The sequence below is a fragment of the Homo sapiens genome, chromosome 1, assembly GCF_000001405.40.
Source record: "Homo sapiens chromosome 1, GRCh38.p14 Primary Assembly".
NCBI lineage: Eukaryota > Metazoa > Chordata > Mammalia > Primates > Hominidae > Homo > Homo sapiens.
The window spans coordinates 151,805,614-151,832,170 of NC_000001.11; the positions used below are offsets into that span (position 1 = coordinate 151,805,614).

At 53.0% G+C, this 26,557-nt stretch overlaps 1 protein-coding gene across 4 annotated transcripts, besides 7 other annotated features; it reads right to left on the reverse strand.

The window, feature by feature from the left end:
• RORC (RAR related orphan receptor C) lies at positions 458–26,189 on the reverse strand. Of its 4 annotated transcripts, XM_006711484.5 has the most exons (12): positions 26,112–26,189; positions 25,315–25,519; positions 23,816–23,845; positions 11,582–11,667; positions 11,051–11,192; positions 9,300–9,812; positions 8,961–9,082; positions 7,875–8,007; positions 7,626–7,733; positions 7,334–7,444; positions 5,712–5,821; positions 458–2,020 (listed from the first exon to the last, which is right to left on the reverse strand). In XM_006711484.5, exons 2-12 carry the CDS (start codon positions 25,514–25,516, stop codon positions 1,859–1,861), a joined length of 1,719 nt encoding a protein of 572 aa, XP_006711547.3. In that variant the 5' UTR covers positions 25,517–25,519; positions 26,112–26,189; the 3' UTR covers positions 458–1,858. The 4 variants fall into 4 exon arrangements, with proteins under 4 accessions (XP_006711547.3, NP_005051.2, NP_001001523.1 ...); NM_005060.4 differs by lacking the exon at positions 25,315–25,519; NM_001001523.2 differs by lacking the exons at positions 23,816–23,845; positions 25,315–25,519; positions 26,112–26,189 and adding an exon at positions 20,317–20,483.
• Positions 3,233–3,733: an enhancer, noted in NCBI's record as "H3K4me1 hESC enhancer chr1:151781322-151781822 (GRCh37/hg19 assembly coordinates)". NCBI's record gives its function as "activates a minimal SCP1, AML or CMV promoter by ChIP-STARR-seq in naive H9 embryonic stem cells {active_cell/tissue: H9 hESC(naive)}" and the evidence as "EXISTENCE:reporter gene assay evidence [ECO:0000049][PMID:30033119]".
• Positions 9,328–9,828: an enhancer, noted in NCBI's record as "H3K4me1 hESC enhancer chr1:151787417-151787917 (GRCh37/hg19 assembly coordinates)". NCBI's record gives its function as "activates a minimal SCP1, AML or CMV promoter by ChIP-STARR-seq in primed H9 embryonic stem cells {active_cell/tissue: H9 hESC(primed)}" and the evidence as "EXISTENCE:reporter gene assay evidence [ECO:0000049][PMID:30033119]".
• Positions 16,470–16,971: an enhancer, noted in NCBI's record as "H3K4me1 hESC enhancer chr1:151794559-151795060 (GRCh37/hg19 assembly coordinates)". NCBI's record gives its function as "activates a minimal SCP1, AML or CMV promoter by ChIP-STARR-seq in naive and primed H9 embryonic stem cells {active_cell/tissue: H9 hESC(naive and primed)}" and the evidence as "EXISTENCE:reporter gene assay evidence [ECO:0000049][PMID:30033119]".
• Positions 16,972–17,471: an enhancer, noted in NCBI's record as "H3K4me1 hESC enhancer chr1:151795061-151795560 (GRCh37/hg19 assembly coordinates)". NCBI's record gives its function as "activates a minimal SCP1, AML or CMV promoter by ChIP-STARR-seq in naive and primed H9 embryonic stem cells {active_cell/tissue: H9 hESC(naive and primed)}" and the evidence as "EXISTENCE:reporter gene assay evidence [ECO:0000049][PMID:30033119]".
• Positions 19,241–20,176: an enhancer, noted in NCBI's record as "H3K4me1 hESC enhancer chr1:151797330-151798265 (GRCh37/hg19 assembly coordinates)". NCBI's record gives its function as "activates a minimal SCP1, AML or CMV promoter by ChIP-STARR-seq in naive H9 embryonic stem cells {active_cell/tissue: H9 hESC(naive)}" and the evidence as "EXISTENCE:reporter gene assay evidence [ECO:0000049][PMID:30033119]".
• Positions 23,438–24,123: an enhancer, noted in NCBI's record as "H3K4me1 hESC enhancer chr1:151801527-151802212 (GRCh37/hg19 assembly coordinates)". NCBI's record gives its function as "activates a minimal SCP1, AML or CMV promoter by ChIP-STARR-seq in primed H9 embryonic stem cells {active_cell/tissue: H9 hESC(primed)}" and the evidence as "EXISTENCE:reporter gene assay evidence [ECO:0000049][PMID:30033119]".
• Positions 24,810–25,497: an enhancer, noted in NCBI's record as "H3K4me1 hESC enhancer chr1:151802899-151803586 (GRCh37/hg19 assembly coordinates)". NCBI's record gives its function as "activates a minimal SCP1, AML or CMV promoter by ChIP-STARR-seq in naive H9 embryonic stem cells {active_cell/tissue: H9 hESC(naive)}" and the evidence as "EXISTENCE:reporter gene assay evidence [ECO:0000049][PMID:30033119]".

The window sequence follows — 26,557 nt, forward strand, 5'->3', positions numbered from 1 at the left end:
CTCTGGTGCCAGGGAGGGGTCATGCAATAGCAAGAACAGCAGGTTCTAGAGGATCTCTCTGACATCCTGATTCCCCCACTGGGGAGCTTGGGCCAGCCACCTTCCAGAGGACTGTCTTTTGGTCTCCCAGATGTGGAGCAATTCTGTGCAACCTCTAAATCTAAACGTTCCCCGTGGGTATCATTTATGGGAAGTTCTCAGTCTAGAGCATCTCCCGTGGGGCTCAGTTTGAGGCTCCTACAGTGGGGGTTCCTGAAGATTCGTTCACAGTCCTCACTGAGGGACTGCTCCACCTGGGGAGAAACTGCAGGGGTCGGGTGAGGGTGGGTTGGATCTGTATAATGCTGATGGATTGCTGAGCTGGAAACCTGAGTCTTGACCCAGGAATGAGACTGGAGAGCAGGCATGCAGGTAATCTAATTTAAGAATCTCCCCCACCCTCTGACACACACACTTCTTGCCTTTAAAATCATTTTATAAAGAATGGCACAAGTTGGGGTTTATGTTTACTCAGATGAACCCGTCCCCTTAGAGGACACAATCCCACCCCCAACCCCCCCAACTCCACGACTGCCCATCATTGCTGTTAATCCCTCAGGGGAGGGTTCACAGCTGTTTATGAAGCCAAGAGAGGTTCTGGGCAAGATCACAGCTGGGGAAACAGGCCCAGGCCCTGCTCCCTGGTGTCCTCCATGCTGGAGTCAGCGGTGCCCAATGACGGGGTGATGTGATCACATCTGCTTCCTTCTCCACAACAAGAGCAGGGCTGGCGGGCAGGCCAGGAAAGTCCTCCAGGATCTGATCTTGCCTTCCGACTGACCAGTGCGAGCGACTTCTGCTTCTCTTGGGTCTTCTAGTGGTAGAAGACAGCTGGAGCTGGGGTGGTATTTGGATCACCCCAGACCCAAGATCAGTGGACTGGAGCACCATGGAAATGTTTGGGAGGGTCCCTCAGGATTGGGACTTTCCCCTGAGGCCTCTAGGCTCCTCCAAGCTGTGGCCTCAAGGATAAGAGAGATTGTGTCAGGTTCATGTGTCTCTGGAACTGCATGATTGCTGTTGAGTCTGTATGTGTTTCACCTGTGTATGGATATGTGTCTCTGATCAGATTTGTGCCAGCCCCTAAAGTCTATCTTTAAAGTGCACATAAGAGGTTTGAGTTTTAACTCTATGTCTGAGATGCTCTTGGCCTTCATTGTACCCTAGTCCCACACCCAAATCCCATAAAACAATTATCTCCAGCCTCTCATCCTCATCCCATCCATTTTTGGTTAGACCCCAGGTAAAGGGTAGGGTGCCCAAATACTTCCTTGCTGAGCTGGGAGGAAGGCAGAGGCAGAAAATGTAAAGCTCCAGATTCATTTTATACAGGTCCTTCTGGGCTCTCACTGCCAGTCTCTGAGCTTGATCCATCTCCCCAAGCCGAAGCCCAAAGGGAAATGCAATGAGGTATTTCAAAGGCTTATTCTTAGCTTCTGAGCTTCTGAATGAATTGCATTCTATTCATCCAGGGAGCCCTGGATGCCCCTGTTTTCTTGAGGATGTCTTGGTCCCCCAGAAGTCCTTAAATCCCAGCCACCCCATGCCTTCCAGAAGCTGGGTGTGAAGGAATATGGGAAATGAGACAGGTCAAAGCTGAGGCTGGAGATGGTGTTCTGCCAGCCCCACCCTCTGGCGATTGTCCCACTGCCAGGCCGGCCTGCTGACAGAAAGCCAGCCGCAGCATCTGCTCACTTCCAAAGAGCTGGTGGGGACCACCCTCCAGGGTTCATGGGAAAGGAAAAGGGTGAGGGTGGAACGGGGTCCAGGGAGGTGGGCCAGCAGGCCATAGGGAGAGGCAAGGAGTCCCTCTTCCAGGTCACTTGGACAGCCCCACAGGTGACTCGGTTTCAGTGCTGAAGAGCTCCTTGTAGAGTGGAGGGAAAGCGGCTTGGACCACGATGGGGTGGAGGTGCTGGAAGATCTGCAGCCTTTCCACATGCTGGCTACACAGGCTCCGAAGCTTCCCCTTGGGTGGCAGCTGGATATGGGTTAATGGGGAAGGGAGGGTCAATACTTCAGCTCTCCTCAGAGCAAAGAAGTCCGCTCATTCTTCCTGGGCTAGGACAAACCCTCCTTGCCTTCCCCTTATGTACTTGGCACTTTGGCACCAGCCAAATCCCACTGGTAGAAGTACGTGTGTGTTCAGGACACTGGAGGGAAGTGAGAGTGGGTGGGGCACAGGTGAATGTTTTCTGGGTGAAGCCCTCAATTTATGTTCCCAATACTTCTAGAATGAACCTTGTCAAAGACTCTAATGTGCACTTCCTGCTTTTATAAGAGTGATTGTCTGTGACTCTTGTTGTATGCTGTCACATGCCTCTGCCTTTGTGCATGTTGTTCCCCTCTTCCCATTACTAATCCTTACCCTCTAGTGTCACCTCTCCTAAGACTATTTCCCTAACTGCCTCCCATCTGGATTAAGGGCCCTTCTTTTGGGCTTTCCTCTGTGTAGCACTTACTACATTGCAGGAAAATGGTCCAATTTGTCTGCCTTCCCACCCTAGATTTCAGCTCCTTGGCTGAGGTCTCTCTTTCCCTGTCTCCTCTGTACCTATCATAATGCTTAGCACATGGCACATGCTTAATAACTCTTTGAACTAAACAGACTTTCTAAGCAGGCACCTAACACTGCAAGTAGCAAACCAATGCTGCCAGCACTCAGCCAAAGGGGAGATGAAAAAGGCACAGAAACCAGTGAGCAGACGGAGGCAGGGAGACCTCACTGGAGCAAGGCTGAAAGAACAATTTATCTCTTGCAGTCTCCTCTACAACCAAGAGGCTTAAAAATGTCTCTTGCCTGCCATTGCCTCCCTCCCCCAGCTTAGTTTCCTTGGAAAGAGGCAGTCAGAGAAAAGCAGGCAGCAGGGTGTGATCCCTTCATATCTCCTAGATTCTCTCTCTTCCTCACCACTGCTTTATTCTGAGCTTTTTTGGGCTATGGCAATAGCTTCCTTCATTCATTCAACAAATATTTGTTGAGAACACATCTGGATCTGAGCTAGGCACTGTGATGGCCTCTAGTGATATATCAGATATATCAGTCAATAAAGTATAATCTGTACCTTGATTAAATTTACATTCTGGTGAGGGGCCCAGAAAATAAATATGTAGTGTATCAGATAATAAGTTCTTTAAAGAAAACTAAAGCTTTTTGTATGGGGTTACTGGTCAGGAAAAACCTCTCCCGAATGAAGAGATGGGGTAAGCCATTTGGAAAACTGGGGGAAGAACCCTCCAGGTGACTACAATAGCAGGTACAAAAGCCCTGCGACTGGGTTTGATGTGTTCGAGGAATAGCAAGGAAGCAAGTGTGGCTGCAATGGGTGTTTGAAGGGGCAGTGGAAGATCAAGTGAGAAAAGAAGGCAGGGATCATGTTATGAGCCACTTGACCATGACGCAGACTCTAGATTTGATTCTCGGCATCACAGGCAGCTACAGGAGGGCTGAGAACAGGAGTCAAGGCCAGGTGTGGTGGTTCACGCCTGTAATCCCAACACTTTGGGAGGCCAAGGTGGGCAGATCACCTGAGGTCAGGAGTTCGAGACCAGCCTGGCCAACATGGTGAAACCCTGTCTCTACTAAAAATACAAAAATTAGCCGGGCGTGTAATCCCTGTAATCCAAGCTACTCAGGAGGCTGAGGCAGGACAATCGCTTGAACCTGGGAGGTGGAGGTTGCAGTGAGCCGAGATCACACCACTGCACTCCAGCCTGGGCGACAGAGCAAGTCTGCCTCAAAACAAACAAACAGAACAAACAAACAACAACAACAAAAACAAGAAAAAAACCACAGGAGTAGGGCATGATGAGATTGCATTTTTAAAAGGGCTACCGTGGGTGCGGAGTAGGTGTGGTTGCTACAGGGCAGATGAGGGTGGAACAGGGGCTCAGTTAGGAGGCCTCTCTTAAAGTCCAAGTGAAAGCTGAGAGCTGGTAGGGGCCAGGGTGGTGGTAATAGTAGGGAAGGTGATGTATTTTGAAAGCAGATCCAACCGGATGTGCTTTCCAATTGCTCTCCCAGATTCCTGTCTCTCCTCCTTCAAATCCATCCTGTAGCAGATTAAAGTTCAAGTTCTTGAGAGCACAGACCGTGTAAGTCATTGCTGTATCCTTAACACCCAGCCCTGTGCCTGGCACATAGCAAAGGCCTGCTTGAATAATTACATAAATGGTTCCTTTATACTGGTTCCAAAGTAAATTGCCTAAATGACAGCTCTGATTGTGTCATTTTTCTAGCCTTTGGAGCTCCCTGTGGCCTAGAAATAAAGCTTTAACGCTTATATGGCATTGAAAGTCCTCTCTGATTTGCCCCTGACCTAATTTTCAGGCTGATCATCTGGTGCTCTTCTGCCCCACCAGTCTATCCCAGCTCCTGATTTTACACTTTAGTGAGGATGTACCATGAGTGATTCTCCACATACACACTATTTTGCCTCCTTATTTTTCTCCTGTTGTTCTTGGTCTTCATTGTACCCTAGTCCCACACCCAAATCCCATAAAACAATTATCCCCAGCCTCTCATACTCATCTCATCCATTTTTTTGGTTAAACCTCAGGAAAAGGATTTTTTTTCATTTTTTTTGTTTTGCTCCTATTGTTCCCTAAGCCTGGAATGCCTGCCCCACCCCCATGAATGCCTGTTAAAATCTTACATCATTCATGGCCTAGTATAAATGTCATCTTCCCTGGGAAGTATTTATGACCCACTCCTTTTACCCCCAAATTATTTTTAATCCCTGTTTTATACTCTCATAACATTTTCCTGGTGTCACTTATTATAGTTATACATAGGGGACACAGGGATAGAAAGAGCGCAAAGAGCACTGGGATTCAATCTTGCATTTAAGTCACTGAAGTCTCCTGATAGCTACAAGGAGATTTTTTTTTTTTTTTTGAGACAGAGTTTGCTCTTGTTGCCCAGGCTGGAGTGCAATGGCACAATCTTGGCTCACTGCAACATCTGCCTCCCGGTTTCAAGCGATTATCCTGCCTCAGCCTCCCAAGTAGCTGGGTCTACAGGCGCCTGCCACCATGCCTGGCTAATTTTTTTTATTTTTAGTAGAGATGGGGTTTCACCATGTTAGTCAGGCTGGTCTCGAACTCCTGACCTCAGGTGATCCACCCGCCTTGGCCTCCCAAAGTGTTGGGATTACAGGCGTGAGCCACTGTGCCCGGCTGCTACACAGGGAGATTTGAACACCTGTCCTATTGACTGGGTTGCCATGAGGATGAGAAAGCATGTCAGCAAAAGCACTCTGTTAATTGCATTATTATTATATCACATACCACATTCTACTCTATGTTAGAGTTAGTGATACACAGATCTCTTCTTCATACCAGATTAAAATCTCTTGGTGGGGGCAGCGACCAAATCTCTGTGTCTTTCCACAGTGCCTTGTACAAGCAGGTGCTGGGTAAGTGCTGGCTATATTAAACTGAATTGTTCCCTGGAGGTCCCTCCCAATCCCAGGCCCTCTAACTTTCCAGTCTTTATGCACGTGGAAGTAGCTGTTCATTCCCTTAGTTCCCACTGCTGATGCAAGCTCTCTAACAGAGAGTGGTACTCCCGCACTCCCTCCTCTGTACCCACAGACCCCGGCCCTCGCAAACTCTGATGTTACAGAGCTAGCGATGGGCCTGGCCTCTTCTACCCCAGGGACTGCTCCTACCTTTGCCAGGATGCTTTGGCGATGAGTCTTGCAGAGATGATGATGAAAGGCCAGCTCCAGATTGTACTGCAGCTGTTCTACTTTCCTTTTCTCTTGGAGCCCTGGCCGATCTGGAGGAGGGGGTGGGACCGTAATGAGAACAAGAAAGAACATGGACATTAACTCCCAACAAAAGGGTGTATCTTTGTGGACATCTGTGCTGGATAGAGGTCTTCTAAGCTGAGCGCGTGCATGTGTGTGCCTTGGTTTGATAATGGTAAGCTCTGGACGTTGGGCTTGGCTAGCTGTCTACAAGGAAAACTGGGAAGAGATGAAAGGTATGAGAATTTCTGATCTCCTGACTCCAAGCTACCTTCTCCCTGGTAACCTGATATTCCACATAGCTCATTCAATGCTAGGCACTAGGATTCTGTCATAGGGGTAACAAGAGTTGGAAAAGAGCTCCCCCATGTACGAAAAGGGCTCCTGATAGGAGGTGGCCTTCCTGAAGGTGCCCAGGCCTGCACCAGGGGGCTTGCAGCAATCTGTGACTAACTTTTGCCCTGATTCTATAAAATATCCAGAAGTCATCTTTAAAGTTTTTATCTTCTAGTTTGAAGGGCATATTTAGGTGTCCACTCACTGGCAGAGCCAGAAGACTGATAGTCTCGATCTGCAAACTCAGGTTAGCAGCTTGACCCACTTCCCTAGGTTCTCTGAATATTTAGTATTCATCTGGCTCAGCCCAGCTACTCCATGCCAGGGGAGTGGATAGGATATCCAGAGTCTTCCTATTATAGGCATACAGCCTTAAAATTAGTTCACACAGAGCAGTGATTCTTAATCTTGGTGGCCTGGGGGTGGCTGTTAAAATTCAGTGCACCCCTTATCAATTACAGATGGTCCCAGTCTTATGATGAGTTGACTTACTATTTTTTGATTTTATGTTGGTGAGAAAGCCACTTGCATTCAGTAGAAACCATACTTTGAATACCCATGCAACCATCCTGCTGTTCACTTTTAGAACCATATTCAATAAATTACATGAGCTATTCAACACTTTATTATAAAATAGGCTTTGTGTTATATGCTTTTGCCAGACTGTAGGCTAATGTAAGCATTCTGAGCACATTTAAGGTAGGCTAGGCTAAGCTATGGTGTTCAGTAAGTTAGGCGTGTTAAATGCAATTTCAACTTACCATATTTTCAACTTACGATAGGTTTATTGGGACATAACCCCATCATAAGTCATGGAGCACATGTACACTGGAATCTCTGGAAGTGGGACCCAGGCAGCAATAGTTTTTAAAGCTCCCCAGGTGATTCTGATGTGTGCTACAATGAAATCACTGCCATAGACTAACAATCAGACACATTTCTGTCAGGAAAGTGGCTCATTTCCTCTCAACCTCATTTCTCCCCACTTCCCACAACCCCACCTTATGCTGCTCTTGTCCCTCTCTGAGAGTCCTCTGAATCTTTATTTTAACTCATTTTATTTTATAGCAATACTGAGTAGGGCTCATTCTGCTATTTAAAGCAATTTCCCAGATTTAACTACATCTGAAGGTCTAGACTCTTCTTCAATATCTGCCATGCCCCTGCCACCTGAATGTCCTTCACCCAAGCCCAGCAACACTCACGGGCATTGATGAGAACAAGGGCTGTGTAGAGGGCAATCTCATCCTCGGAAAAGTGCAAGGCACTTAGGGAGTGGGAGAAGTCAAAGATGGAGCTGATGAGCTCGCTGCAGCCTGATGGAGTGGAAATGAGAAAAGTGAGAGAGTGGCTGGAGCGATGGTGCCCGAGGACACCGCCCTTATTGTGTTTAGAGCAGAGGGGGCAATTCGCCCTGAAAAGAGGGTGCCCTGGGTCACAAAGCTTTGCCTGGGGTTGGCATCAGAATCTTCCCTCTCATTTCTCCCTGCCCCTCACCCAAGGCTCGGAACAGCTCCATGCCACCGTATTTGCCTTCAAAAAAGACCGTGCGGTTGTCAGCATTGTAGGCCCGGCACATCCTAACCAGCACCACTTCCATTGCTCCTGGGCAGTGGGGAGAGAAGATGCAGGGACAGTGTCAAGCAAAGCCAGGATCTGACTCTGTCCCCCTGATTTCCTTAAGCCACCTCCCTCCACTTGGCTCTGTCCCCTTGTCCCCAGGCCTGCCCACCCATCCCTGGGCACCTGCTTTGAGAAGCACAATCTGGTCATTCTGGCAGAGCTCCATAAAGCCTGAGAGCCTCTTGGCGAACTCCACCACGTACTGAATGGCCTCGGTGAGGTGGTGGGCACACCGTTCCCACATCTCCCACATGGACTGCAGGGAGGGAGGAGGGTCCCGCTGTAGCGCTCTGTGTGGCCCTGTGATCCTCCTGAGCCCTGGAGCCCCACCTAATAAACTGCAAGGGGTAGGCTCTGAACTCCTATGTTCTCAACTAGCATTTTCAAAAGCCTGGTCTTAGCACAAATGCACAGATTCCTGCCAGTGAGTCCCACACACTGAGCACCTACCGGCTGCTGACACCGAGTTAGCTGTTGTGAGGGAATCCAAAAAGTATGAGATACAGCTTTGCCCTCCAACAAGGTATATCTCGTTGAGGTGAACAGGACATACAGCTGCCCCTTCCCCCACAAAGGTTATGCCCAAGGTCTCAATAACCTGGAGAAGCAAATGTGAAGTGCCAAACGAGTGTGTTTAGAGCAGGTGGTATGAGAGTGTGATCGAAAAGGCAGCATAAACTTTGGAGCCTGATGAATCTGAATTTGACTTTGGTTCCACCACTTTGTGACTTTGAGGAAACCTATTAACCCCTCTAGGCTCAGTTTCTGTCTGTTAAAAGTAGGAATAAATGCCACCCTCATAGGTTGGTTGTGGTAGGGGCTGAGGATAATTTACATAAAGCGTTTAGCACAATGCCTGGCAGAGAAGGGGTGTTTAACAAATGGTAATCAGGGTTCTGATTATTGTTATTGTTGATGGAAGAGGAGGAAGGAGGGTGCACCAAGGTCTGCATGGTAGAGGAGGTAGGATGAAGGCCAGGTACAATTTTAATAGGCAAGAACTAAGGAAAAGCGCTCATCCATCTGCTGGGGTGTAGACAGATACACACATTCGCAACTGTACATAAAAGGTGTGCACATGCTTGTTGGCCAGCCTGTGTCTGTGATGTCCCGCCCTGCCCCAGGACCCAGTCGTGCGCAGGTAGCCATCTCTGAACTCTCCCGGTGGGGGTGGGATACGTTCCCTTCCTGCAGGTCTCCTGGCCTCACCTTCCTCTGGTAGCCAGTCACTTCCTCCCGGGAGAAGATGTTGGAGCGCTGCCGCAGCAGGTCCTCCAGCCGCAGCTGGCATGTCTCCCTGTAGGACTTGCAGACGCTCTGCACCAGGTGCTCTGGGGCCGGAGAAGGAAGGCATGGCTTGATCTCAGCCAGCTCCTACGCCTACCCATGCAAGGGCACTTCTCAGCCTGGCCTATCCTGCTCCGCCTCCTCCCTCCGCCCCTCGTCTGGACCCCTCAATTCCCTCAGGCGCATGTTTGATTGATACGGGGTACTGGTGGAAACCCCTCCCTCATCTCTACCACCCTCTCCACCTCCCCAGCTGCTCACCTATCTCTGTCAGGGAGGCATAGGGTGCCTCCGGTGTGCTGCGGAAACTGGGGCTGCCGTAGCTGTCTGGGCCCTGTCCCAGTTCCCCAAGCCCAGGATGCCTGTGTTCCTCAAAACGAAGTCCACATCGGTCAGGGGTCAGCTGGCTGCCTGTGCTATAGAAGCTCTCTCTGCCCTCAGCCTTGCCCCGCTCAGGGCTGTATTCAAGGTGGCATGAGGCCCCATTGAGCCCTGCCTTGGCCAAGTTGTTGGAATATGAGGGCCCAGAGCCTGAGGCTTTCAGGAGGCCAGGGGGACAGGCAGAAGCCTCAGGCAGGTCAGGCGAGGAGCCCAGGGGCAGCTGCCCGTCTGGGAGCCCCAAGGTGTAGGTGAGGGTATCTGCTCCTTGGGCCCCTGCTGGAGGGGTCTTGACCACTGGTTCCTGTTGCTGCTGTTGCCGCTGCTGCAGCTGTTTCTGCACTTCTGCATGCAGGCTGTCCCTCTGCTTCTTGGACATGCGGCCGAACTTGACAGCTGAAAGAGGTCCAGGGACCAGGGGTTTATGAGGCAGGAGAACATGGCACAGGGCAGGGTCAGGAGGCATTTGGTCATTAAAGGATTAACTTGCTGCTCTCTGAATGGCTGACTCCAAGCACAGCTTCTCTAGCCTTTAGGGAACTTATGCTCAAGACCCCGTCCACCTCTCACTCTTGTTTGCTTCTGGGGTCTGTCCAGTCTGCCATTTCAATCTGCTAAGCAAAATCTTCTAAGTTCTAAATCAGATTTGAATCATGGCAGAATTCAAGCAATGAGTCTAGGCTGGGGATTCTGGCCTCCAGATCTTGGGGCTGGGGGTGGTCGAGCAGAGGGCCTCAAGCTGTATTGGGGTCACCTCGCCTCTTTGGGAGGGTCGGAGGAAGAGGAGAGCTGAGAACACAGGTCTCCCTGTGGTCAGGCCTGCAGGCTCCCTGGTGACCTAGATACTCACCACAGCCCAACCCGGGCTCCGCGGCTTGTTTCTGAACATCCTCTTCTGCTCTCTCTTTCCTGCCTTTTTACTCCCCCCGCCACCCCTCCCAGGTGTAGGGGCACAGCCCCTCGCCCCGCCTGCCCCTTTGCACCCCTGCGTGCTTCCTTTTGCTTTGTTATTTTGGGCACTGAAAAGTGCTGACGGGCTCCTTCTGGCTCCTCATCACCTCATGCCCCCCCAGCTCCACCCTAGGCTCCTTCTGTGGTGGTGGAGGTGTGCAGGGAGACTGGTGAGGAGGTGGTGGGTGAGGAGGGTGGATAAGGCACCAGGAACACCAGCCCTCCCCCACGACCACCCTCTGGTTGTTCTCAGGCCAATTCTGTTTCCATTCCTGGCTATAGTCCTGTGTCCAAGTATGGGAATGGGGGATTAGAAAAGGAGATAGAGCTAGAACTACAACAACAGGGTAGCAGGGGAAGGTGCCAGAGCTGCATGGGAGCTGGGCCAGAGGGCAGCAGAGTGAGGAGAATTCGTTCCAAGTAAGAAGAGATGAAGAGGTATGGGACCTTGGAAAGAGGATGTTTGTTCTAGCAAAGCCTAAAGTTGGGGACTCCAAAGAACTTTGATGGGGGTGACCCATCCATCCCTGGAGGGGAGGAGACAAGGGGTTGTAACGGGGAGGAATGGAGAGGAGACCAGAGGATGGGCCGTCTTGCAGGTTAAGCCTTGTCTAGCTCAGCAGGCCAGGCTGCCCCTCTGGAGACACCAGGAAAACCCCAGGGGGCTGTCGACTTGGCCTCACCATCTCGGGACATGCCCAGCGCCAGGCATTTCTGCAGGCGGCAGTGCTGGCATCGGTTTCGGCTGGTGCGGTCGATGGGGCAGTTCTGCTGACGGGTGCAGGAGTAGGCCGCGTTACAGCGCTGGCTCCGGCGGAAGAAGCCCTGGGGAAAGCAGGTGGAGGGCAAGACTGCTTATCCTGGTCAGGCCCAGCTCACTCACAAAGGCCTCCAGCCCACAAGCTCTGGCAGCTTTTCTACATCCCACGACCTGTCAGTTTTCTCTCTCCTCCATCTATTTGTGTAATTGCAATTTATCCTGTAGTCATTTCCCCAGCTTAAGACAGGGCCCTGCCAGTGTTGAGGGCCCTGCAGGAAGGCGCTACTCAGGCATTTTCCTGGCTGCCCAGGAGATCATCCCTGGAGTCAGAACAAAGGCCATTAACCCCCTTGTTTATCTCTAAGGAGACACTGTGTGTGTGTGTGTGTGTGCGCGCGCGCGCGCTTGTGTATGCACACGCACACATGCATGCATACACATGCCTATGACTCACCTTGCACCCCTCACAGGTGATAACCCCGTAGTGGATCCCAGACGACTTGTCCCCACAGATTTTGCAAGGGATCACTTCAATTTGTGCTGGAAGAGAGAAAGAGAAGTAGGTCAGCCCAGGAGGCTTTTCTGCATTCAACCACCATGTACCTGGGCTGCAGATACAGGTACCTGGTGCTTCCACTACTTCTCCAACCAGCTCCAGCTTGCTGTTTCCCTCTTGCAAAATGGAAGGGGAAGTGAAATGCCAAATGCTTCTCAGCAAAGGGTGTGAGGAAGCTGTGTTTGTTTCACAGAGGAGGGGAGTGTGGAGGGGTGGCCGGGAGTTGTATCAGTGCTATGGAGGCAGAGAAAGCAGCTGCAGAGGGGCCACCTGCTCAGCCCTTCGAGTTGAAAAGCTCCAGTTGCCTCCCTCCCGCCTTGGGACATAGGACTCCTCACGGCCTCACAACACCTGCTTCCCGCCGAAGGGGCTTCCTCTGTGCCTCCCTCCCTCGCTGGGGCTCAGCTCCCATGGGCAAAGTGTAGGGTATAGCAGGAAGATGTGGTACACAAGGGGTGGGGGATAGGCAGAGATGCCAGTCCTTCCCAGCCAGACAGTGAAGGCTCAGGGAGGTGCTATACAGAGACAGGGTGAGGGGGTGGCAGGGAGGAACCCAGGAAACGGGGGCTCAACACCCCAGCTCTGCTGGATGCCTGAGAGCCTAGGGAAAGAATTAGCCAGGGCTCTTAGGCTCTTGGCCCCAGAGCAGAGAGAGGGTGGCTTTGTGTACATCCGTGTGTCTGAGTGTGAACACTTATGTTTGTACAAAGGCATCTGTATCCATTTGTGTGAACATGAATCATCAATGTTAAAAATGGCTGAGACTAGAGACCATCTCATTCAACCTCTTCATTTACCGATGAAGGACTAAGCCAGATGAGGCAAAGCGGTTGGGCCAGGGTCATAGGCTAGTTTGCCTGAGAGCTGGATCTACATCCCAGTTCCCCTGAGCTTTCCATTATGCTGTTCTGTGTACCTGTCTTTTCGGGTACACATTTCAGTGGGCATGTTTGAAGGTGTGCTTGTGGGTGTGCATATGCAAGAAAAGTATGTGTCATTTGTGAGCCTACGACATATCTGGTTGCTCCTGCGTCCACACGTGCATATTTGTATGTTAGTGTCTGCTCATGGGGCACTAGGACCCCGGGTTCTCTCTCCCACTGAACTCACTGTAACCTGTACCTGCTTCCCTACCCCTGTGGTTTGCTGCTGGCCCTAAGCTCATCTCTGCTTTGCCCTGTTCCTGTCAATGCCCACGACTCTCTGCTGAGCTTCATGGGACCACAGGAGGCCTTCTCCCAGCTCTTCCTTGAAAGGTAGCTGGGCAAAGCTTGGGATCCCTGGTTACTGTAGGTGTTTTTAGCATTTCCCAGAGCACATGGGTCTCTTTTCCACCATCACTGACCTGCTGCCTCCCCTCTGAGTGGGGAGCCCTGGGGCGGGACAGGCCAGAAAAGTGAAGAGAAGGGCCAAAGCCCCTTTTAATCTATGACGTGTCTCCCACCAAAGGGGCAAAAGAAGTGGCAGCCTCTCTGGAGGGCGAATGCACATTGCTGTGATCTCACCTCCAGTCCCTGGCCTGGACACTGGTCACATGTAGGGCCTGTTGATGTGAAGTGGGCAGGGAGACCATGGCTTGCCCGCCATTCCCCAAAATATTATTTCCATCATTCTTAAACCATCATCCCTCAGGCCAGACTTGAGGTGAGTCAGAGGCAGTAGCTGACCCTGACGGGGACAGGGCACATGGGTATCTGAAATCCCTTCATTAGCACTCAATTCCTCACCCAACCCCCAGCCACACGTGCCTGCCCAGCAGCAAGCTTCCAGTGCTCACACTGTAAGCTGTGGTCCCCCCAGGACCAGGCGGTAAGTGAGTTTTCCAGGTTCTTTCCAGTAAATTAAGAGCAGATTTTAATACATGGAGGGGAAGAGAGAATAAGAGGGCACTGGGTGTCTGGAACAGGGGCAGAAAACGTTGGGGCCCCCATACTTCTAGTCACTTAGATTCTCCCTCTAGACCTACGTTTTCTTGTCAGCAAGATCAGGATAAAAGTATTATTGCCTGTCCATGGGGTGATTGTAGGTAACAGAGAGTAATGAAATGATATCACCAATGGAAAGCACTGTGTATTCAAGTTACTCCTGAGCAGAGGTCAGGCTGAGAAGACCAGTGGGCCTGGCAAGGCTGAGAGGAGCACTCGGGCCCTGTGGACTCTGTTCTTGCCCAACACCTCCCCCTCCAACACTGTGGCATCTCTCTTTTCAGTGGCCTAAGACCAGAGATGGGAGAAACCAACGTGGGCCACCCAAAAAAGTAAGCGGGAGGGAGATTAGGCCAAGCCGCAGTGGGAACTCGGGCTCTGGCCCAGCAGTCAACCACAGGCCTCCCTGCCTCTTCCCTTCTCCAAGAGCCACATCCGCGTGCGTGTGTGTGCTGACCACATGGTGACCCCAGACACATCTCCCTGCCCCATGCTTGACCCACTGCTTCTCCTGGCCCTAGGAACCTCACAACAGTGTCACCAAGACCTTGACCTTCTCATAGGAAGATGCGGCCAGTCAAGGACCCCCTTCGCAAATACCCATGTTTGGGCGACACCAAAGCCTTGGACTCCAGCCACCTGGTCAGCCCATCCTCCATCCTCCCAGTCCAAGACAGAAGTACCCAGTGAGACAGACACACAAGGCCAAAGACTCTGAGCTAGAATGTCAGACCCCCTAGCCTCACTGAGCTGGAGAGACCAAGAGGTTTGGGTCCAGGAAAAACAGAGACATAGATCTAGGGATGGAGAGACGGCTGCGGAAACACTGAAACACAGAAAATCCACGCTTGTATCCTGGCCTTTGCCCAACCCATGGCCCCCTCAGCACTTCAGGCCCTCTAGTCCTGCTCCCCCCTCCTTCCCCTGCCACCTGCACTCCCTTCAATGCCATCCACCCAAACCTCAGAAAGAAAGTACCAGTGCTGTGTACATGAGGGTGTGTGTTACTTGTAGAGAAGGGGTGGGGGAGAACGGGAAGGGGGCTGGTAGACTTGGGGGTTGGTGAGAGGAGCTGAAAACACCTCTGATGATAACTCACCTTCAAAAGCTACCCCTGGGAGACACGTCCCTGAAGCAGCAGGTGGTGGGAACTCAGATTGGGGAGAAGGAGCTGAGTAATCACAGGATTACTCAAACTGTTGCCCTGGAGCCAGGCCTGCCAGGAACTTACCATCTAAGGGCCTGCCAGTGCCAGGAACTAGAGCCAAGCAAAGGTCAGGAACCTCGAACCAGCCCCTGCACCACTGCTCCCATGGCAGCCCTAACTCTACCCTCGCCTGCTGTCTTGGAAAGATCTTTGCATCTCACCTGCAGCTCTCTCACTGTAGCTCTCTCCTGAGAGAGAGCTTTCTCCAAAAGAAAACTCCAATTCCACATCTTCCAAAAGGAGAGACAAATGCCCAAATGCACCCGCCAGCTCCTTAAGTCATCTAATGACTGAATGACTATGGCTTTCTGCATCTCAAACAAGATTACCTGGGGATCTGAGGTGGGACTCAAGATTCTGCACTTTGGTCAGCTCTTAGTTGGTGCCTAAGCTTACTGGTCTTCAGCTTATACTTTGAGTAGCAAGAACTTAGTCCCTATTCCTGCCTTTTTGCCAGGCTGCTCCTTCCAGGGAGTGGGGCTGGGGTTGGCGATCTTTTCCTGAGCTCATTCTTGCATCTTTTCTGCCATCCAGTGTGACCTCTAAGACTTCATTCTGAGACAATACTAGAAAAAGAAACTGAATCTCCTCTGAATTGCTTTAGAGACTGAAGTACCCCCAGGAGCATCCTAGTAGCTCCTCCTATGAGGGGAAATACGGTAGAGGCAAAGTCCTCCATCCTCCTCTAATCGAGCCTCTCACAGCTGTGAGATTCAATGATAGTGCTTTGAGTACTTCCAGAGCCTGGCCCTGTGCCAGCTTAGGAAGCCAACCCTGGGCCCTGTCCAGGTGCCCTATGCCACAGAGAGGAAGTGGTAGGAGCAGGGGAGGGGCTGCAACCCAGGGGGATCTCTCCTCTCAAACCCCAGAACCACCACCCCCCCACCATCATGGTAGAGAATGGGTTCACACAGAGAAACCCCGGGGTCCTCATCTCCTCCTGGTGCCTCGTCAATCTAGAGCTGGGCCTTTTCCTCTCCTCTTTCTCTCTCCTTTTTCTCCAGTGGATACTGATTAAGGAGAAAGGATAATGATAGACATAAGCATTGGCTGAATTCTTACTCTGTGCCAGGCTTTACATGCATTTTCATTCAATGATCACAACCACCCTGTGAAATAGGCCCTGCTAGTATCATCCTCATCTTACAGATGAGAAAACTGAGGCCTAGAGAGAATAAACAGCTTGACTAAGGTCACACAGCCAGAAGTGGCAGATCTGGCATTTGAACCTAGATCTCTGTAATTCTGCAGCCAGTGCCCTCAAGCCTTAAGCTATATACTTTATGAGGATAAGACGCCCAAATGCACACCGGAGACCTGGGTAGAGGACATGGTTATTTGGCTGTAGGGGTAAAAGTGTGAGGTGATTGTGGTGGTCTAGGAACAGAATTCACAGAGGAAACCCACAGAACTAAAGCCAGGACTCCTGTTTGTATAAAGATCCCAAGAGATATTATTCCCTCTGTCCCAACTCTTCCTCTGAGGTCCCAGCCTCCTCCTGCCCTTACCCCTTTCTCTAAGGCCAAGTGGGATGACTTATATATCAACAACAGGGTTCCCGGGGACTCCTCAGGAACACCACAGCCCCTTTAGGGTATAGACTAGGTTTCCATACATCTTGGTATGCCTCCCTTTGCAGAATGAATGAATGAGTGAGAAAGAGGAATGCATCTCTTTCCTTAGCTTGAGCTCCTCCTCTCCCCACAGCCAGAACTCTCTGTCTCGATCCCCACCGAGACCACAGCTCCGGTCAGGGGTCACTTGCACACCCCAACCTGTCACCAGCCTCCCTCCTTTCTCAGCTCTCAGTTCCCCCAGCTTCTGCAAAGCTGGAAACCAAGGTGGTGGGTGCCACCACAGGGGAGCAGGAGCGGGAGGGCTGGGTGGGGGCTGGGGGAGAAGTGGTTCTACCTGGCGAACACTACCCCCAGCCCAGGCCAGGGCCCTCACCGCAGCTCCTGGTGAGAATTTTCTGCTGAAACACCCAGATCCTGGGGCTGAGAAAATAGTGAAGCTAAAACTCAGGTGGGCGAGGGAGAGTCTGGGGTTTTGAAAAGCCATGAATGACAGCCAGCCAGCCACCCGAAACCCCCTCCTGGTGCCTCCGCCACCCCCACAGTCTGGGACTGGAGAAAGGCGAGTGAAAACAACCAGTGAATGGGGGAGGGGATGAATCACTAGGAGGAAGCTCTGGCGAGTGGGAGCCCAGACGTCACCATCAGCACCTTCCCTGCCTTCAGGGCCATCTGTCCCTCATCCCAGAGCACCTTCACTGCTCCAGGAGGGTAGTGGACCCAGAAAGACCTTGGCTCTGGCCCTGAGGCCCTGCCTTGTTACTGTCCCTCCCCCGAAATAGACATCTCCATCCTTTTTGAGCCTCAGAGCCCCAGGGAAGGGGCTGCACTGCAGCAGCAGGCGTGGAGGTGAGACTTCAGAAAGGACTAGCTATATGGGAACAGGAGCGCGGGCCTTGGGCTGCCCGCCTGGGAGAGACCTTAGCCCTTGGAAAGTCCTGTTCCCTGTTAGTTTGAGTCAGCAGCACAGCGGCAGGGGATGGGGAGGAGCCCTTGGTAGGGACCGAATATTTTCATTGTGCTGGGACAAGCTGAGTCTTTTCAGAGTCTAGCACCTTGGGCTCGGTGGTTTGGTATTTCTGTTAGGAATGGGAAGACGGGGAAAGAGAAGGGTGCTGGAGTGATGAAAGGAAGGAAGAAGCCCTTCACGGAGTCCTAAGATGGCCCTGGGCTCTCAGGGTGATATCTGTGTACCCTGGGGACTTGGAGTCCTTTCTGGCCCACTGTTCCTCATGATCATGACCAAACCTAAGAAAGATCAGCTCATAGACAGTGACCTCACACCCCTCGGCCTCCCACCTCCCCATCCAGACCAAATGCCAGGGCCTGAGTGCCTATTGGCGCCACGCTGGCCATGCCCTTAGGGGAAGATGTCTGGGCTACCCTCCGTCTGGCTGGCTGGGAGTCTCTTTGGCGTACAGACACATTATCTCCACTTGACAGCAGCAGGTCGGATGGCAGGGTGCTGGTGCCATCCTTGTCAGAGCCACCCTACTTCCCTCTTACCGCTTGCCTAGACCCTGTGTCTCCCTGTCTTCCCTTTACTGCCAGTTATCTTTTCTCTCCGCCTCTCCCTGTGTCTATGTGCCTTGTGATCTTCTGCATTCCAGCTCTGTTTCTGGGCTTCACACCTTCATGTTTGTTTGTTTGTTTAAGAGACAGGGTCTCGCTCTGTCACCTAAGCTAGGGTGCTGTGACATTGATCATAGCTCACTGCAGCCTTGAACTCCTGGGCTCAAACGATCCTCCTGCCTCAGTCTCCTGAGTAGCTGGGACTACAGGTACACGCCACCATGCCCAGCGAATTAAAAAAAACTTTTTTTGTAGGGACAGCGGCTCACTTTGTTGCCCAGGCTGGTCTCAAACTCCTGGCCTCAAGCCTCAGCCTCCTGAAGTGGGATTATAGGCATGAGCCACCACGCCCGGCTGCACCTCCATGCGTTTGGCTCTATTGGTGTTTCTCCAACCACACCTCCAGCTGGACATTACTCTCTCCCTAGGTGTTCCAGAAACTCGCCCTCTGAGTTGGGCCTCTGCATCTCTCCTTATTTCTTGATTTGTTTCTGCTCCTTTTGTCGGGCCCTTGGTCTCTGGGTGTGTCACAGTCCCAAGCCCCATGTGCTTTGACTTTTGCCATCGGCGGTTGGAGGGGCTGGTGGTGGTTGGCACTCATTGGGGTCAGATAACTTGGGGCTATGAGATACCTGTAAATGTCCAAGTGAGAAGGACCAGTGGCACTGACCCCCTCGTTGGAGGAGGCCCTCTCTCCTACTTCCCCGCCTGGGTGGGGCTGTGTGTGTGTGGTGGGGGTGGGAATAATGGAGAGCTGGCCAAGTGTCTCCCTCAGCCCCTCCTGGGGACTCCTGCCCCGCTGCTGGGCTAGAAGCACACCTAGTCATTTCATCCCAGGGTTGATTTGCTCATTAGGGGCCATCTCTGGGAAGACCAGTCTGCCAGCGTTTGCTGCTAATAGAGAGAAGCTAGAAGGGAAACGGAAGCTCCAAGGGGCCCTTTCCTCTGTGTAGAAGCTGTTGGCTCTTCTCTCCAGCCCTCCTTATCCACCCCAGCTCATATGCCTGCACTGTGGCCTCAGTCCCTGTCACAGAAGTGGAATTCTTTTCTTTCCTTGGTTTCCCTTCCTTCTAACCTCTGGGAGAGCTGAGTCTCCATCATCACCCTTGGGGATGCCTGCCTTAGGGCACTGGGCTCTCTCTTGGCCCTGGGCCTTTGGAATGGGAGACTCTCCATAGTTGGTTTTGTTGTTCTATCTTAAAATTCAGCTCCCTTGTTTTGCGGATGGTAGACCAGGGCCCAGTGACTTGGCTTGTCTAAGTCTATATGGCTAGCCAGTGATAGGCGGCACAAGTGCCTGGTCTTACACTGTCAGTCCAGGGGTCTTTCCAGGACTCAATACGGCCTCCCTTCTGTGGCTTGTGGGAAGACCCCAGGTTGAAGCTGGGGCTGCTTCAGGCCTCAGCCACAGGGGCATGGGGCTTCCCTTTTCCTCCTTCACCTTGTGCTCTGAGAGCTTCTCTGGCTTCCCTGGCTTCCCTTCACAACAAATACAGGGGACTTCCTGAGGTTGCCCACCCTTGCTCTGCTGGAAGGCACAGGAACCCCAGACATCTGCCCACCAACTGTTGGCCCAGGGCTCCAAGCCAGGAAAAGGGTGAGGCCGAGGTCTTTCCAATCCCATCTCCATTGCCTTGCTTCCCCGGTCAAATGGGTGACTGACCCTGGAGAACCACACACACACATACACACACACCCCACACACACACGCACACACACACATGCACACACACGCAGGCATGTGCCCGGGTGCACCCTGACTGGATTCCACATAGTCCTCATGTCCCTGGATTGGGCAGAAAGCCTGGTGGCTTTGAGGCCTGGACGCGGGGATTCTGTGCCCTGCTGCCTGCCAACCTCAGTTGACTCTCGCTGTCCTGTTGCTTCAGAGCACAGCAACTGCTCTGGCCTCCTTTTACTCACAAGCAGGCTGGAGGCACAGAGGGAAACACCGTAACAAGGGAAACACTGTAACAGGAGAGTGCGTTCAGGGCCCCTAGTAATTACCAGCCCCCATCAGATACCAGCTGTGTAACATTGGGCCAAGTACGCGGCCTCCTTGGCTCTCAGTCTTTTTGTAAAATTAAGGGCCTGGATACCTCAGATACTTTTGGAGGTTCTTTTTGGAACTCAGGAATTCCTCAACAGTCCTCTTACCATTGCTGCTGTCAGGGAGCCGCCTGGCCAGCAGGACTCCCCAGCTGCTCCACCCATCTCCCAACAGATCTTGACCTTGACCAGGACGCACCCTGCTTTGCTCAGATTTGCTCACACTGTTCCCAAGACATCCTCCTTTCCAGAGGGGTGACGACAGGGTCCAGGCTCCCCCGCCCCCAGGTGGCCCCATTCACTTACTTCTCATGACTGAGCCTTGGCTCTGCCGGCCTTGGCTCCCTGTCCTTCTCAGCAGGGGGTGGTCCAGGAGTGGGGTGCAGCTGGCGGCAGAGGCGGGGCGAGGCCCTCTCAGCAGCGCCTCAGCCTGAAGCTCTGCACCTAGCTCTCTCCCCCAGTGCTTCTGGACTGGGGGGTTTAAGCTCTGCACCACACAGGTGGCCAAGTGACAACCCCCCACCCCACCCCCAAGGGGTGCAGTGAGTAGGATGACAGGCGCCCCACGTGGCCAATCTGGGCCTGGGGCAGGGTGTGAGGGGAGGGGCAGCCAATCGTAGGGGGCGTTGGAAAATTCCAAAACCACATGCGACAGCCACACGCGGTAAAAGCTGTTTCCACCCGCCAGGGTAGTTCTGGCTGGGGAGCCAGAATGGAGCTCACACGAGCCTGAAGCCAAATTTCTACTCCTCCTACCCCCGAGGACCTTCCAAGCCTGACCCTCTTTGCCAGGTGACTTCAGGGACAGGGATGTTTTCAGAGGTAAGTCACAGGATGTCTGCCTGGGGTGGTGGCATGTGCCACCTGACACCCTGTGGACTGCCAACAGCCATACCCAGTGTGGTGCAGCCTGGGGGGCTGTCCCACCACTCCCATGCCCACGCTCCTCCCTGCAGACACCACATATATCTTGCGCTAGGGAATACATGGAAATGATAGAAGCAGTAATAATCACCAGGCAAATACCCACAATCCACAGAAGGAAACCAGAAATTTCCTTAGGAGCCAAACTGCTGAAATTGGAGTGTAGATAATGATCATCATCACCATCATCATACTCATAATCATAATAATAGTGCTTACTATTATGTGTCAGAAATGGTTCTCGATGTTTTATGTGGATAATCTAATCCTCACAAAATACTTTATGTGGGCCGGGGGCAGTGGCTCACGCCTGTAATCCCAGCACTTTGGGAGCCCAAGGTGGGTGGATCACCTGAGGTTAGGAGTTCGAGACCGGCCTGGCCAACATGGTGAAACCCCATCTCTACTAAAAATACAAAAATTAGCCAGGCATGGTGGCGAGCACCTGTAGTCCCAGCTACTCAGGGGGCTGAGGCAGGAGAATCGCTTGAACCCGGGAGGCGGAGTTTGCAGTGAGCTGAGATAATGCCACTGCACTACAGCCTGAGCAACTGAGTAAGACTCTGTCTCAAAAAGAAAAAATAAAAAAACTTTATGAAGTAGCTACCATTATCCTCATTTCGAGGAGGAAAGTGAGACACAGAGAGGTTAAGTAACTTGCCCAAGGTTACACAGCTAGTAAGTGGCAGAGTCAGGATTCAAGCCCAGGCAGACTGGCTTCGGATCCCACTTGAAGGATGGGAGGGTTTCTCTGGTTCAAGTCTGCTTTTGAGGGTGTCTCAGCCTGGGAGGTCCCTCGGTATGTGAGTCTCTCTGGAGTGTTTTTTGGCCTGGGGGAGGGGGGTCCTTCTCAGGGGCCAAACAATTCCAGAGACCTTCTCAGCCTCTTAGGTGCTTTGTGGGGTACATTGGCTTTGAGAGTCCCTCTTCAGGGCCCCTCAGTATTCAGGCTCCCTCTTGGTCTGGGGAGTTCCCCCGGGTTCCCCATCTTGGACCCCCATCTTGGGGTTGTCTCAATTCAGGAGCCAATTTTCAGAGTCTCTCGGCCTGGGGGAGGCCTTAATGTCTCCTGGATTCTGTGGGGCAAACTCCTGAGAGGTGTCTGATCTTGCTGGGACTCCAGACCCTCTCATCCAGGCACAGGCCTTTCCTTGCCTTCCTGGGCCTTCCTGGGGCTTCAGGAGCTGGGCCGTGGAGTGGGGGAGAGGCTGTCAGCCTGGATCCTCAGGACAACACTCTTGGGGTGGGGACACGAGGACTGGTGGGATGGGAAAGGGATAAGGAGGTATAGTCCTGGCTGAGGTTTCTGAGGTCAGGGGTTAAGGGTAGGAATAGGGTTTGACCTCTCCCAGTTCCTGCTGCTCCGAAAGTCCCCCTACTCCCCCCACCCACATAAGGTCCGTGACCCCCCTCCCCCAGCTCACCCGCGTCACTCCCTGACCCGCTTTCCTCCCGGGGCCCTGCTCAGCATTTCCGTGGGGCCCTGTGGCTAGGGGCAGGCGAGACACTGATCAGGATTATGCTGAGCAAAGCAACCCCCACCCAGGAGGAGGTAGCATCCTGGATGGCCCTCAGCCCTGGGCTGCCCAGCTCATGGAGAAGGGCAATGCTTTGCTCTCTGAGATGTCTCTACTTGGAACAGGGAGGCTCTAGACAATTTTGGCATTGGGCGAGATGGCAGTGAGCTCTCAGGAGGAACTGGCAAGGCAGTCAAGGGACGGCTATGGAGAAATGGTGTGGCCACTCCTACCCTGGAGGGATCCTCTCGATTCAGGGACCCATGCTCACAGAAGGGCACGCATGGCCCTGATGGGCATAGCTTTGGGACTGTGTGCATTCTCTGGGGGACTAGCCTTTGCCACAAACTAGGAGAGGAGAGCTGATGTGCTGAGTGGTCCCTAGAGAGGATTCTTATTCACTAGCGTCCACTGGGAAGTCCTCTCTGAGCTCTAGTGCCCTTCTTACCTGCTGTAGTCTGGCTTTCAGGGCCCCAGGACACAGAGTGCCCCTGTCCATTCTGTTTCCTACAGAGATAAAGCTCTCCTGCTCTCTAGTCCTGCACAGGCTGGCTCCAGGCTTGTTCACACCTCAGGATGTGTTAACCACAGAGATGAACACCAAACCTGGCTCAGGACCACAGAGCTTGGTGCAGGCTGGGCACAGTGGCCCATGCCTGTAATCTCAGCACTTTGGGAGGCCGAGAGGGGTGGATCACAAGGTCAAGAGTCTGAGACCAGCCTGACCAACATGGTGAAACCCCGTCTCTACTAAAAATACAAAAATTAGCCAGGCGTGGTGGTGGGTGCCTGTAGTCCCAGCTACTCGAGAGGCTGAGGCAGGAGAATCGCTTGAACCTGGGAGGTGGAGGTTGCAGTGAGCCGAGATTGTGCCATCGTACTCCCGCCCAGGCGACAGTGTGAGACTCTGTCTCAAAAAAAAAAAAAAAAAGCCTGGTGCAGGCTCCCTGTCTCCCTTGGCAGCAGCGCTGAGTTCCTGAGTTCCTGAGGCCACCCCGCCTCCGCACACCCCCCTACCTCTATCTCCTTCCTTCCCCGGCCTGGCAGTCGGCCCCACCCCCTCCCATCTCCCTGCCTCTGTCCAGCATTTCTCCTCGCCTTTTTTCACAAGGCGGTTCCCTTTTCCTTTGTTCTCTCCTGGTTTCTTTACAGTGTTTCCTTTCATGCTTCAGGCTTCTTCCTCATCTCCTCCCACTGCCCTGATCTGTGGTTTCCTCGCACCTCCCCTTGCTTTCCTGTTGCCTGCCATCTCTTCCTGACTCCTCCACCTCTGTCCAACCTCAGTCCCCCCACAGATCACTTGCTGAATTATTCTCCATCTCATTATGCCCCAGCCATTTTCTTGCCCCGGACCCCCTACTCACAGGTGTGGGTCTTCTTTGCAGCCAGCAGCTCTGTAAAGACAAGAGAGGGGGTTGACGTCAAAGGTTGAAGATCATGAGGGGCTGAGACACTTTCCCCACTCCTAGGATCCCACTGCCGCACTCCTTCCCTCAGAGCCTGGCGTCTGAAGGGCAGGCAGGCCACCCCCTGCAGTGCCCCTCTCTCCTCCTCTGCCCTTGGGCCACACTGGCCCTCTTCCAGGTACCCAGAAGTGTCAGGCTCCTCACTGCCTCTGGGACTCCCCCAAGCTGCTCCTTTGCCTAGAATGCCTGTCCCTCCTGTACCCCTTAATCTAGCCAACTTCTCTTTCTCCCTCAGGTCTCTGATTATGTTTCTTCCTTGGAGAAGCCACACACACCCCCTTCCCCTGCCCTTGTGCTGACACATTTAGCTCCTTGCATTTTATTTCCTGGCACTCACCATGTCACCAACTGTCACCTAACTGCTGTAATTGTGTCATTGTCTATGAAATGGGTCTTTCCTGCCAAATTGTAAAGCCCTGTGAAGGCAGGGACTGTGTTGGTCTTATTTACTTTGTAATTTCATTGGAGGTGCACAAGAAATATCCTACAGCCAGAGTTAAATCTCTGTGGGACTGAAATCTCTTGGTTGCTTATCTATGCCTGAAAACACCAGGGCTTCAGAGATGTGGGGGTTGGGAGTAGGGGGAGAGGATGTTTGGAGGAAGAGGAGGGGAGAGTTGCAAATACAGACCCCTCTCTGGCTTCCACGGGCCAGGCTTCCCTGGCCTACCAGCCTGAAGAGGAAGGCCTCCCTTCTCTGCTGCTGCTGCGTGGCCGGGTCTGGGTGGAGATTGGGCAGTAGGGAGCATGAGTGGGTCGATGGGGGTCACATGGATACTCGGACCTCCAGGGGGAGCAGCCGTTGAGGGGAGGGCCTTAGCTGGAGCATGGTTGGTGGGTGGGGGGGTGTCACCCATTCATGCAGTTAACATCTATGAAACACCTAGCCAGGGAGCCCCTGGAAAGAGGATTCCCCTGCCAGACCTTGGCCCATTTCCTACATCCACATAGCAGCTCATCACAGAACACATGGCCAGTCTTTTGTCTCAGAAAGCCCTTCAACCATGCCCTATACCCCCTATAGCTTCCCTAACCTCTGACTCTATTCTGTTATTTTTTTCCTTCTGCTGTTCAGTCTTGACACCTGACATACACACACACACACACACACACACACACACACACACACACAGTGCCCTTCTGCCCGGGAGATGCTCCCCACTGGCAGGCCGTGGTCACTAGGCTGTGTGGAGGCGAGTGGCCTGATGGCCTGGGCTCTGCTGGGGTGAGGGAGGAGAAAAGACTGCCCCGAGGTGGCAAGGCCCCACCCAGCCCCGCCCACCTCCCCTTGCTCCTGCCTGGCCCCACCCAGCTTCCTCCCTGACGTGGCACCGGCTCCTGGCCTCTAGCCTTGCACCTCAGAGCAGTCCTGTGGTGGGGGTGCTCCCCTTGCTCACCCAGGCAGCCAGTTCTTCCTCCACCAGGTGGCCCTGGAGCTTGGTGGCTCTGGCCCTCAAACTTTCCTCCTCCATGCTCACAGCTGACCAAGCCTGTGGCCCTGCGATCCTGCTCTGAGGGGGTTCCTGACTTGGACCATGGGTGGGGCCAAGGACGGCCTGACATTCTGTCCTTCCCTGCTGATGGCCCAGTGCCCCACATTCTCTGCAGAGATGAAATCCCACATCCCTGGGTGAGTGGCGAGGAAAGGACCAGGCTACGTGGTCATGGGCAGCTGACAGGGTGTGGTTCCCCCTGCCACACTCCCCAAGTCTGTCACTCCTTAAAGGACAGGTTTCTCCACTGGTGAATGAACAGAAGGTGGAGCAGCCAGCCTCCCGGCCACTGCTGTCTGGGGTCCTGGCCAGATCAAGGAAGCAGTGTCCCTGTGCCTCCTGGGGGGTAAGCCCACACCTGGGAGGGCCTGTCCACATTCTGACCCCTCGCTGGGTCTAGATCTGGCTCCCCTGACTTGGCTCTTCCCTCCCCATCTACCCTCCAACCTGTTTCTTCCTTCTCCCGCTTCTCCCTTTCTTTCCTGTTTCTCTCCTTTTGCGATTTCTTCTCCTCTGTCATCTCCCCAGCCCCTCCTCCTGTTTCTCCTCCAGTTTCACTCCCTGCCAACCCAGGGCTTTCTCCTCTGCACTCTTGTCCCTCCCTCCCCTCCTCACTTCTTGCCCAGTCTCTTGCCATTTCTGCCCTCCTCTGAACCTCCAGCAGTCTCTTCCACCTGCAGGCAGGGCCATGGGCCTCTTACCCCGTGAGGCTCGGTGCTGTCTCTGTGGGGCCCTGTCCATGGGGCAGCTCCCTTGGTGCCGTCCTGGCTGCCCTGGCTGCCCAGGAGGGCAGGGAGCAGGGCCCAGGGGAGGGAGGAGGGCGGAGGGTGGAAGGCGGGAGCACCTGGCCCTCCAGCAGGCAGGGAAAAGGAGTGGCTGGCAGAGTGTCCTGGCACCAGGAGGGGACATGAGGAGAGACCAGTGGACCAGTGCATGGAGCCTTGAGGAGAAACAGGACAGGAGAAAGGAAGGGAACTAGCATTTATTAATCACTTACTGTGTGCTGGGCCCTTTGCAGGACACTTTATGTAAATCCATGCTTTTACTTTGTGTAAATATTCACAGCACCCACCACAGGGAAACATTATTATTCCAGATTGATCAGTGAGTGGAGGGATTCTCAGAGATATTAATGATTTTGCCCAAG

Coding starts and splice junctions, on each gene's coding strand:
- RORC (XM_006711484.5), bottom strand. CDS start 25,516: ATGTGGGGCACTGGGCCATCAGCAGGGAAGGACAGAATGTCAGGCCGT. Junction 7,734..7,874: donor GATTGTGCTTCTCAAAGCAG/GTGCCCAGGGAT, acceptor CCCACTGCCCAG/GAGCAATGGAAGTGGTGCTG. Junction 5,822..7,333: donor CCTTGTTCTCATCAATGCCC/GTGAGTGTTGCT, acceptor CCCCTCCTCCAG/ATCGGCCAGGGCTCCAAGAG.